At 37.5% G+C, this 12,437-nt stretch overlaps 1 protein-coding gene across 2 annotated transcripts; it reads right to left on the bottom strand.

Annotated features, from left to right (window-relative positions):
- Positions 1,242-8,798, bottom strand: CPXCR1 (CPX chromosome region candidate 1). 2 transcript variants are annotated; one of them, NM_033048.6, is made up of 3 exons: positions 8,654-8,798; positions 6,600-6,705; positions 1,242-2,616 (listed from the first exon to the last, which is right to left on the bottom strand). In NM_033048.6, exon 3 carries the CDS (start codon positions 2,606-2,608, stop codon positions 1,703-1,705), a length of 906 nt encoding a protein of 301 aa, NP_149037.5. In that variant the 5' UTR covers positions 2,609-2,616; positions 6,600-6,705; positions 8,654-8,798; the 3' UTR covers positions 1,242-1,702. The 2 variants fall into 2 exon arrangements, with proteins under 2 accessions (NP_149037.5, NP_001171700.2); NM_001184771.2 differs by having other exon boundaries at positions 8,692-8,798.

The raw sequence follows: 12,437 nt of genomic DNA, 5'->3' as shown, positions 1-12,437 counted from the left end.
TATTTTTCTGCATTCAAATTATGTTTTCAAATTCTGTGGAGGTTTACCAGCAAATATATTGATTCTATGGATGGTAATATGTCAGTGATAAAACCCGTTTTTTTTTAATAACAAGTACTATTTTTATTTCATCCCTAGTTAGGAAAAGTGAAAAAAAGAAGAATGTTTCTTTTTTATTTTTGTTAGTTTCTACCTGATGGCTTATGTTTTTGTAAAATTATCTTTTATATTCAAAAGAAAATGAGATAAAAATTAATATAGAATATATTTTTTAATGGAGAAATATTCAGTTTTTTGAATTGTCTTTGTTTAACTGTTTAATCCAATCCATTGCTCACACTGAATAATTGTATCTGGAAGCATCAAATTTTCCTCCAGATGAACAAATTTGACCTGTTGTAGATGTAGCTTAAGTATCCTCTGCTTCAAGTTTAGAATTTCTATAATACAGTATATCCATGGATGAAATAAATTCTATATGCTATTTCAAATATAAGTACATACATATTAAATAAGGCATAATGTGCAAAAAGTTTCCTATTCAATTCCAGTTATAACATGCAGTGACAATAGCATGCATTTACTCTGTGACCTGGTAAAGTCATTCAATTTTCTAGAAACTGCTTCCATACATTTAATCATGCCATGAAAATTAAAAAATTTTAGATTGTTGCAAAGATTAACTAACACATAAAATTATGCTGGCATAGTGCTTCACATATAATGGGTACTCAAAGTATAAATTATATAACACATACATATTATATAAAATACATGCACTGCATACATATTACATATTATATTCCTATATTCATTATATATTAAATATAAGATGGTAAAAAATATGAGGTGTAGTTATAGACTCTAACTTTAATGAGTATGCAGATTAAATAAAAGAAGTATAGATGTTTGAGCTGCAAGAACAAGATAAGGAACGTCTTAAATATGTGCACACATTTGTGCATGTATGTATGGAGGGGAAGGTAAACTTTGTGTAGTGATTGTGAACAATGGTGAATGTGCTATACAAGCAAAAAGGTTTACAGTTATATGGTATCAATTTAATATTTGTTCACTTTTACTTCAAACTGTTTCACTTCTATCATATACTTTTTTATGAGTTTTGTTATTATTCTGTATCTTCAAAATTACCCAAGTATTGTGTATTTTATAGTATGTTGAATCTTTTTATTCCAGACATAGGAATTCTTCTCTAATTACAAATATACAATACAACTTTCTATGTCTTCAAATTGGTTTTTATTGAATATATGGAGAACATTTCAGATAATACATGTAGCAGAATCTCTGGAAACACTTGGTAGAACTTTGTCTGGCCTTCCAATATATGTTTGCTATCTTAGTCAGGATCCTGTTAACTTGGATTCTTTTATGTTAACAATATTTACATCTACAGAAATAGATGTTAAGACAGTGAAAACATTTACTTGGTTCAAATGCTGACTCAATATAGATGACAGGTCTGATATTTCAATGATGTACTTGTAAAAGCAAAGTATAAACAGATGTTTCCTCACTCCCCATAGGTATTTCTTACTGAGAGGTACTATTAGTTTGTGTTCCTTTCTGCTACTCCCTCTAATAATACTAAAATTTATGTTCATGCAATTTTGTCTTACTTTAGTAGTCAAATTATGAATTTTAGAAGTTATATTTTAAAATGAATTTACCCCAATTTAATTTAATTCCCAGAAGAGCTGCATGAATGTTGTCTTAATTCAGAGTAAGTGTTAAAAAGCCTTCCACAGATGGGACAAAAGTATTTCCAACCATTATTGGTGTTTGTGATCATAACATTCATGGTATGGATATATGTCAATATATCCACAAAACCTTTTATATTAAAAATACTTTCAATTTGTATCTGTGACACAAAGAGCACAGACCTCACAATAGCACGGAATCTACATTTCCCTTTAGTGTCAGTTGATTTGCAAAATTTTCCTGATGTCATTCTCTCAGTGAGGGGACGGTAGTAGTGCACCCTCGAAGGCCTTCTAAATGTTATGGCTCTCTCGTGATGGGTGAAACTATTTGGATGGTAAAGACATGCTATATATTTTCGCTTTACCCACATGGTATTCTGACACCCTGCAGCCTGAGAGAAATATCTATCACATAGCAGATGGAGAATCATACTTCTTATCTCATGACTGTTAATAAATGGGACTCTCCATGAAGTTGAAAGTCGAAAACGAGTTTTGTGATTTATGGGGAAATTGTTTGCTTTCATCTCAACTTTCCCTGAGTGGGATCTTGATCTATCATTTAAGGGCTTGTGAGAGACCAATTTTCTGGGAATGGGGGTCTGAAGTAGAAGAAGCTCTTCTTTTAGATCTTCTTCTCGTTGATCTTTTTGGATCTCTGTTTCGAGCTCGCTGTTTTCTGCTGCTTGAGGAACAACATCTTCCTGGGAGGTTGCTGTGCCTGGCTCCCTGTTTATTGGGTTGGTTTCTACCTGATAGATCATATTGGGATCAGCAGATGGAGACTCTATGTCTGTACTACAGTCATTAGGAGGCTCATTTTCAGAATTTTTGTGAGCATTTCCAGCTGTATCACTTCCTTCTTTAGTAGGATAACTCATCCTGGGTTCTATTTATGGGAAAGAAGACAAAGATTTACTAAATTTATGTATGTTCCATTTTATAAGAAGTCAATTCTTTGGTCATGGCAAAAAGCCTGTGAATGTGCTATTTCTGTGCCTTCTCGCAACTATAAATATTGTATCAGAGTCACAAACCCACAGAATAAAGTGAAAACTGAGGGCAAATGTAAGCCTCCTATTAAATATGTTTTCTCATAACTTAATTATGGAATTTCAGTAAACTTGGAATAACATAACCTCTCATTTGGCTATTTTAGGTATATACCCTATGCACTAGAACACATTTAGTTCTGAAGAGAAGGCCCAATTATTTCCTTTTGGATGGTGAATTATAAATAATTTTCATTGAATAAGATGGATCTGTATTACCCACCTGAGAATTTAAAATGGGGCTAAAATAGGAGGAAGGTATTATGAGTGTATATGTTTAAAAGAAAATTAAGACCTATGTGAAAATGATATGGTTGAATTTGTATAAGGTACAAGCCGTTCTTCCCCTGTAATTTTTACTTTTCTTAAAAACCTACGTTTTTAAAAGTAATGTCTAGGCCAAGCGCGGTGTCCCATGCCTGTAATCCCAGCACTTTGGGAGGCTGAGGCGGGCGGATCACCTGAGGTCAAAACTTCAAGACCAGCCTGACCAACCTGGTGAAACCCTGTCTCTACAAAAAATACAAAAATTAGCTGGGCATAATGGTGGGCGCCTGTAGTCCTAGCTACTTGGGAGACTGAGACAGGAGAATCGCTGGAACCCAGGAGGCAGAGGTTGCAGTGAGCCGAGATCGTGCCATTGCACTCCTGCCTGGATGACAGAGCAAGACTCCATCTTTAAATAAATAAATAAATAAATAAATAAATAAATAAATAAAATGGATAAATAAAATAAAAGTAATGTCTGTACAAAGAGGTGCAATTGTGAATCGTGAGAAGGGAAAGTAGGGTAGATAAGAAAGTAGGAAGCTGATGAATGAAATTCAAATTCTGAGTTCATTTATTAAAATGTCTTCCAAATTCACCACTTTCTGTTCATTCTCAATGCCTCAGCACTAGTCAAGCTGAAAATTACCTCATGCTTGCTTTACTACTTATAGTGGCAGATTTCACTGATGGCAAACTCTACACTCACCACTCTCCTGTCACCCCTCTCCTCTTACCTTTTACTTTCCTTATGTCTTTTACCCGCTCAAACACTTTCAGTGTACCCTAATACTCTGAACTCTATGCTTCCACTTCTACTCTATGAGAGGACTTTGAACAATCAACTTGAGAAATTTCTTCAGAGCAGGATTATGGGCAGGGAACATTCTTACTGAATTCCATGGTGGAGAAAGGCGAATGCAAGTGGGCTGAAAAGAAATCTGGTGGAGTGGTGGAGTTTGAGAAATTGACTAACATGGTTTTTATTCTCATGGCTAGTTTTTATGAGCTAACATAGGCAGGATTTATGGATAAGTTAGCAGGATTTAAAGATGTAGAATTGATGTAGAATTATGTGGAACCTTATCTCATAACTGCAGTCTTCAGAGACCCTCCACAATCTGACTCCATCTCCCCTAACCAACTTTTTCCTCTATTCACTCAACATGCTTTCTCTGTTCCAATACTGCTGAGCTTTTATTATCTCATGCTCATTATTCCCTTCAATTTAATCTTCAATTATTTTTTTCAGAGTTTGATATTAATTCAAGGGTGACTATTTTTCTATCAAACGTTATATCTTTTATTGGAGGTAGTGACCCCACTGTCAATATTAGACAGATCAATGAGACAGAAAATTAACAAGGATATTCAGGACTTGAACTCAGCTCTGGACCTAACAGACATGAACAGAGCTCTCCACCCCAAATCAACAGAATATACATTCTTCTCAGCACCACATCGCACTTATTCTAAAATTGAACACATAATTGTAAGTAAAACACTCCTCAGCAAATGCAAAAGAAAGGAAATCATAATAAACAGTCTCTCAGACCACAGTGCAATCAAATTAGAACCCAAGATTAAGAAACACTAAAACTGCACAACTACATGGAAACTGAACAACCTGCTCCTGAATGACTACTGGGTAAATAACGAAATGAAGGCAGAAATAAATAAGTTCTTTGAAACCAATGAGAACAAAGTCACAACAAACCAGAATCTCTGGGACACAGCTAAAGCAGTGTTTAGAGGGAAGTTTATAGCACTAAATGCCCACAAGAGAAAGCAGGAAATATCTAAAATCGGCACCCTAACCTCACGATTAAAAGAATTAGAGAAGCAAGGGCAAACAAATTCAAAAGCTAGCAGAAGACAAGTAATAGCTAAGATCAGAGCAGAACTGAAGGAGACAGAGACAAAAAACCCTTCAGAAATCAATGAATTTAGGAGCTGTTTTTTTGAAAAGATCAACAAAATAGATAGACCGCTAGCCAGACTAATAAAGAAGAAAAGGAAAAGAATCCAATAGATGCAATAAAAAGTGATAAAGGGGATATCACCACTGATCCCACAGAAATACAAACTACTACCAGAGAATACTATAAACACCTCTACACAATTAAACTAGAAGATCTAGAAGAAATGGATACATTCCTGGACACATACACCCTCCCAAGTCTAAACCAGGAAGAAGTCGAATCCGTGAACAGACCAATAACAAGTTCTTAAATTGAGGCAGTAATTAATAGCCTGCCAACCAAAAAAAGTCCAGGACCAGACAGATTCACAACCAAATTCTACCAGACGTACAAAAGAGGAGCTGGTACCATTCTTTCTGAAACTATTTTAACAATAGAAAGAGAGGGACTCCTCCCTAACTCATTTTATGAGGCCAGCATCATCCTGATACCAAAACCTGGCAGAGACACAACAGAAAAAGAGAATTTCAGGCCGATATCCCTGATGAACATCGATACAAAAATCCTCAATAAAATACTGGCAAACCAAATCCAGCAGCACATCAAAAAGCTTATCCACCATGATCAAGTCAGCTTCATCCCTGGGATGCAAGGCTGGTTCAACATACGCAAATCAGTAAACATAATCCATCATATAAACAGAACCAATGACAAAAAACACATGATTATCTCAATAGATGCAGAAAAGGCCTTTGACAAAATTCAACACCCCTTCATGCTAAAAACTCTCAATAGACTAGGTATCGATGAAACGTATCTCAAAATAGTAAGAGCTATTTATGACAAACCCACAGCCAATATAATACTGAATGGGCAAAAACTGAAAGCATTCCCTTTGAAAACTGCCACAAGACAAGGATGCCCTCTCTCACCACTCCCATTCAAAATAGCATTGGAAGTTCTGGCCAGGGCAATCAGGCGAGAGAAAGAAAGGGCATTCAAATAAGAACAGAGGAAGTCAAATTGCCTCTGTTTGCAGATGACATGATTGTATATTTAGAAAACTCCATCGTCTCAGCTCAAAATCTCCTTAAGCTGATAAGCAACTTCAGCAAAGTCTCAGGATACAAAATCAGTGTGCAAAAATCACAAGCATTCCTATACACCAATAATAGTGATCACAATTGAAGTTTATCTCGTATCTTTGTCTTGTGCTGTTTCTAAGTCATGGAGTAGTATACTTTTCATTTCCACCAACTTTTAAGTATTTCATTCTTTTGCTTCTGTTACTATGTGATACTTTCTTATCCTGCTTTATTTATCTTTATTTTACTTATGTTTTTTTGTACGTGCATTGTAAAACTCTAACATTTAAATATATGTATTTCTCAATCTCCATTCTCTAGTATACTTTTGCTTTACTTTCTTCTTCAGAGTCCTCACACACTCTGATCATTTCACAGGCATATTTTTGGGTCCTTGCTAAGCTTTGCTGAGTTTTATGTTTTTAATATTGGCAATTGGAAAATCTCTCTACATAAACATCTCAGCATCAGCAGTTAGCATCAAGGTAAAACAATAGACAGAGTCTACATTTTAGAGACTTTCTAAATAAAGTAAATTGAACTCACAAAATTTGAGGATAGTATGACTGGCTGCTTCTCAGTAAGGCTGAAATGCAGTAATTCGGTGAGAACTGAAGTTGCTGGAGGTCATCTAAGGCTTGTCAGATGCACCCTGAAAACAAATAAAGATATTTTCATAAAAGAAAGGAAAAAATAGCTCCTGCACCTTCTTCCCCCAAGAAAAGCATCTATGCTGCTCTGCTGTTTGGTAGGGTCTTCCACTTGCACATTCAGGATAACTATGAGATTCATTGTTCCCTTCTACATTCTGAAATAGGTTTGTATATAAGAAATATCCAGTGTTAGGAAGGGGAACATCACACACCGGGGACTGTTGTGGGGTGGGGGGAGGGGGGAGGGATAGCATTAGGAGATATACCTAATGCTAAATGACGAGTTAATGGGTGCAGCACACCAACATGGCACATGCATACATATGTAACAAAACTTTATGTTGTGCACATGTACCCTAAAACTTAAAGTATAATAATAATAAAATTTAAAAAAAAAGAAAATTGCTAAAAGGGTAGATTTTAAGTGTTCTCACTACAAAAAATAAAGATAAGTATGTGAGACAAAAAAAAAAGAAAAAAATACATATGTAAATACACACACACACACACACACACACACAAAAGAAATATCCAGTGTTCATTGTGAATATACTAGTATATTTATCACATATATTTATGTCACTCAACTATGTTAAGACTGGTTTTTCAATAAACATAATATGTGATATCTAAAGGCGTATTGCCCTCTGAAATGTAATTACATCACAAAACTATGTACTTAAGTTTATTATTACTCATTAAAAATTAAACGTTCCCTGGAATTGCACAAGAAGGCTATATGTATTCTGTTAAACCTCTCAATATTTATTATTTAATGTTTGGACATATGTTTGGAAATAGTCAACAATCATATGTCTTTCTTATTTAATCTTTTTTTTTAAATAACTCAGCCAAATGACTGTGTTTACCACCGAGTCTGCTGTTTTCTTCTGTTTTCTGGTATTTTTAAAGTATTTAGTGTTCTATACTTCACTTACATAGAGCATTATAAATATATGTATTAAATATAAACACTAAAAATATATATACATTAAATATAAATTTTAATATATATTAAAAATAAACCAAAATGCTTCAGTGTATGTATACACACACACACACACAACATTTCACTGTTTGTTATACAGAAAACCAAAATCATTTTTTCCACAAAGATAAATGTAGATGTATATGCCTGATAGCTTTTAAAATTATAATGTTTAAAATCCTTAAAATAAATGACATTTGAGTTGATAATCAGGGCCCTGAAGAAGCACAATATTACACTTTATTCTAAATACCAGGGTTGTGTTTTCAAATATTCTCTTCTGACCAAGATTTTTACATAATGACCTGTTGAGAATCAAAAGATACATATGGAGTTTTAAAAGAACCTGACTGTTTTGAATCTTTCTAAATCAGTTTTGATTATCCTTTATATTGAAAGTAGTTTATTTGTATTCTATTTATACTGTATCCTCCAATGCCCACATGCTCTGGAGAAAGACATGCATTACTTCTAACAAAACTTTAAATATTTTACACTAAATTACATTAATGACTCATCAGCTCAATCAGACTTCTTTATGTAAATGTCCCATCTTTCCCTGCTGACAAACCCCTCCAATATACAAGTTCACTTCACCTCAGATGAAAGAGCTTCAACTAACATATGCCTTCTGATTCCCATGCACTCATGACTGGCCAGAAATCCCCACCATATCCTAATTTCTTCAATTGAGGGACCTTATCTTCTGTTTCTTTCAAATTTGTTAGTTTTACTTTAAAATGATTGCATCACTCAAAATGTTGTGACAAATGAAACCAGGAACTTTTCTGCATATGTTCATATCAAACATATGTGAACATATTAAATCCCTGACCCAGAGCGACAACTCTCAGAATAAGATCTACATCAACAAATGATAAATCAAGAAACCAAAGCTAACTTTAAAATAATTTCTTACGTATATTCTAAAATGGATACACAAGCTAAGAAGCACTTACTAAGATCCCTTATGCTTTCTCTTTCACTTTCAACTCACAGTTTATCTTCATTCTCATTCGTCAAAATCCTTAGGAAAGGTGTGCTTCACGGGGTCCTGCCTTCTTGACCCCTTTTCTTCTGCCCTCTACCTCTCCACTTACTCCTGTTTCACAGTTCTTTTGACTCTGCATCACAATGCCCACAAAACATGGAAACCTAGCAACCTAGAACCCTCTTCAGACTGTAGGGGGAGGGAATAACTGAAATGGCAAATTCAAAATCTTCTTTAGATGGCAGGCAAAGAGTTAAGGCTGGGAACACCCATGAGTTTATAACTCTTGCCGTATCACACACAAAATCCTAACTATATGCAATATTCCCAATATTGAAACAGTGTGAAGACAGGATTGCCAGATGTAATACAAGACACCAGTAAAATTTGAATTTCTTATAAACAATACTTTTTTAGTATAAATATGTACCAAATATGATAACATATTGAGAGGTGACAACATGCTGGCAGCTCTCGCAGCCCTCGCTCACTCTCGGCGCCTCCTCGGCCTTGGCGGCCACTCTGGCCGCGCTTGAGGAGCCCTTCAGCCCCCCACTGCAATGTGGGAGCCCCTTTCTGGGCTGCCCAAAGCCGGAGCCAGCTCCCTCAGCTTGCAGGGAGGTGTGGAGGGAGAGGCTCCGGCGGGAATCAGGGCTGTGCACTACGCTTACAGGCCAGCACGAGTTCCGGGTGGGCGTGGGCTCAGGGGACCCGCACTCAGAGCGGCCGGCTGGCCTGCAAGCCCCGGGCAGTGAGGGGCTTAGCACCTGGGCCAGCAGCTGCTGTGCTCAATTTCTCGCAGGGCCTTAGCTGCCTCCCCAAGGGGCAGGGCTTGGGACCTGCAGCCCTCCATGCTTGAGCCTCCCCCTCCTCTGTGGGCTCCTGTGCAGCCCCAGCCTCCCCCACGAGCGCTGCTCCCTGCTCCACAGCGCACAGTCCCACTGACCACCCAAGGGCTGAGGAGTGCGGGCACACGGCGGGACTGGCAGGCAGCTCCACCTGCGGCCTAGTGCAGGATCCACTGGGTGAAGCCAGCTGGGCTCCTGACTCTGGTGGGGACTTGGAGAACCATTATGTCTAGCTAGGGGATTGTAAATACACCAATGGGCACTCTCTATCTAGCTCAAGGTTTGTAAACACACCAATCAGCACCCTGTGTCTAGCTCAGGGTTTGTGAATGCACCAATCGACACTCTGTATCTAGCTACTCTGGTGGGGACTTGGAGAACCTTTGTGTCACACTCTGTATCTAGCTAATCTAGTGGGGATGTGGAGAACCTTTGTGTCTAGCTCAGGGATTGTAAACACACCAATCAGCACCCTCTCAAAACAGACCACTCAGCTCTCTGTAAAATGGACCAATCAGCAGGATGTGGGTGGGGCCAGATAAGAGAATAAAAGCAGGCTGGGGAGCCAGCAGTGGCAATACGCTGGGCTCCCCTTCCACGTTGTGGAAGCTTTGTTCTTTCACTCTTTGCAATAAATCTTGCTGCTGCTCACTCTTTGGGTCCACACTGCTTTTATGAGCTGTAACACTCATCGTGAAGGTCTACAGCTTCACTCCTGGAGCCAGCGAGACCACGAACACACCAGAAGGACCGAACAACTCCAGACGCGCCGCCTTAAGAGCTCTAACACTCACGGCGAAGGTCTGCAGCTTCACTCCTGAGCCAGCGAGACCACGAACCCACCAAAAGGAAGAAACTCCGAACGTATCCGAACATCGGAAGGAACAAACTCCAGACACGCCGCCTTTAAGAACTGTAACACTCACCGCAAGGGTCCGCAGCTTCATTCTTGAAGTCAGTGAGACCAAGAACCCACCAATTCCGGACACAATATGTTTAGGGATTTTTTTTTTTTTTTTTTTTGAGACAGTGTCTCTGTCACCCAGGCTGGAGTGCAGTGGCACGATCTCGGGTCACTGCAACCTCCGCCTCCCAGGTTCAAGCAATTGTTCTGCCTCAGCCTCCGGAGTAGCTGGGGCTACAGGGGCTCGCAACTGCTCCTGGCTAAATTTTGCATTTTTAGTAGAGATGGGGTTTCACCACATTGGCCAGGCTGGTCTCCAACTCCTAACCTCGTAATCCGCCTGCCTCAGCCTCCCAAAGTGCTGGGATTCCAGGCGTGAGCCACCGTGCCTGGCCCCCATACGTTTTTAATAAAAATGTTGTTAATCTGAAATTTAAATTTAACTGAGCATTTTGTATGTTTATGTACTAAATCTGGTAACCCTACATGATGTTAATATATGACTGATTGCTCCATTTTATTAGGTTGGTTTACAAACTTTACACCATTTTCCTGTTCTTCCTTTTGTTAGTTTTCTGAACTGATTTTCCTTTAGTTTCTTAGCTTCCAAATATCAAACAATAGGGAGCCATATATTATTTGATTACATAACCAAATGTAATGGTTTTTTTTGACACTTTTCAATTTACTTTTATTTTCATAATTTCTCCAGCATACTTCTAATTTCCACCTTCTGTTGGTTTGGGGCAAGATGAGAGGGTTTCCTGGAACATGTGAGCCCCATGAGACTCAGAGGGGGTATTAGAGGTAAGTGTCTCTCATACCATACCATGAAAGGTAAGTGTCTCTCATCTTCATAGATGGAATCTATCCAGGAGGGACTGTCAAAAGTGAGTGATAAGACATTCATAAACCAAAGGTTCAATATAGGCACTAGAGAGAGACTAGGACTCAAACTGTGCCATCAGAATTGAACTGTTAGTCCAGAAATAAAAAAGTAATAGAATAAAGAAATAAAGACAAGCTTTAGATAAGGGCAGGTGAGCACATTAGTTCTCTTTCACGTATGAGCTTGTGTGAACATACTAAATACTATAAAAGGGGCCTAAGCAAATTACACTATTGATTCACTTTCCTTATTTTATTTTATTAGGTATTTTTGTATCTAATATTTATTTTCTTCCTTTTTTTCTCATGTCTATTGCTGCTACTACATTTAGTTGTGAGGGCTACAGAGTGTGAGCTAAAAATATAATCTCTAAGGATTCAGATTCGTTATGATATTCCTAGAAATCTTGTGAGGAAGTTCTTCCAGTAGTTTATTTTTATAAAAAACTAAAGAGCTTCATGAGAAACTATTTACATCAAAGACAGAGCCAGAGCACCTAAGCCTAGAATAAAGCAATTAAGCAGTGATTTTGAATATAATAGAGTCTATCTATATCTCTATGTCTATCTCCTATCTATCCATCTATATATCTATCTCTCTCTACCTACTCACCTGTCTATCTACTATCCTTGTTTTAATCCAGTCCTTTTAGAGACATATGTTGGGAAACTTAAGAAGCAAATAATACAGAAAAGGTGATTAATTTTTGTTTATGAAACAAACTTTCTTCACTGAGATGACTGTCAAAACACATCATAGCTTAAAATAATAAATGGTTACCCACCGAAAGTGTTGGTCTGAGAGGACAACAATATCTTAATCAGATAGCCAGAAAAAAATGAAAGAGGCCTAACAACTGGTAAGACAAATTTACACAAGGCCAAAATCAAATGCAGCTCTTTTAAACACATCCCCCAAGACATTAAGCTATGTACCTTAATTTGGGTGAAATAGCCATAACATTAGAATCAGGTTGCTACAGTAAAGCTTAGAGGAACACAAATCCAGTACCACCAATACCAGGAAAAGGAAAGAACAAATCTTGCATGTGGAAGCGGAAAGGGCCTCATTAGGTAACAGAAATGAAACAACCCCTGGGGAATTCCTGAGT

This window comes from Homo sapiens, chromosome X (genome assembly GCF_000001405.40).
Source record: "Homo sapiens chromosome X, GRCh38.p14 Primary Assembly".
NCBI classification, from domain to species: Eukaryota; Metazoa; Chordata; class Mammalia; order Primates; family Hominidae; genus Homo; species Homo sapiens.
Note: the sequence above shows the minus strand (reverse complement) of the source record. Positions and strands in the feature narration are given on the sequence as shown.

Excerpts from the sequence above, each read along its gene's own strand:
- CPXCR1 (NM_033048.6), bottom strand. The coding sequence starts at position 2,608 with ATGAGTTATCCTACTAAAGAAGGAAGTGATACAGCTGGAAATGCTCAC.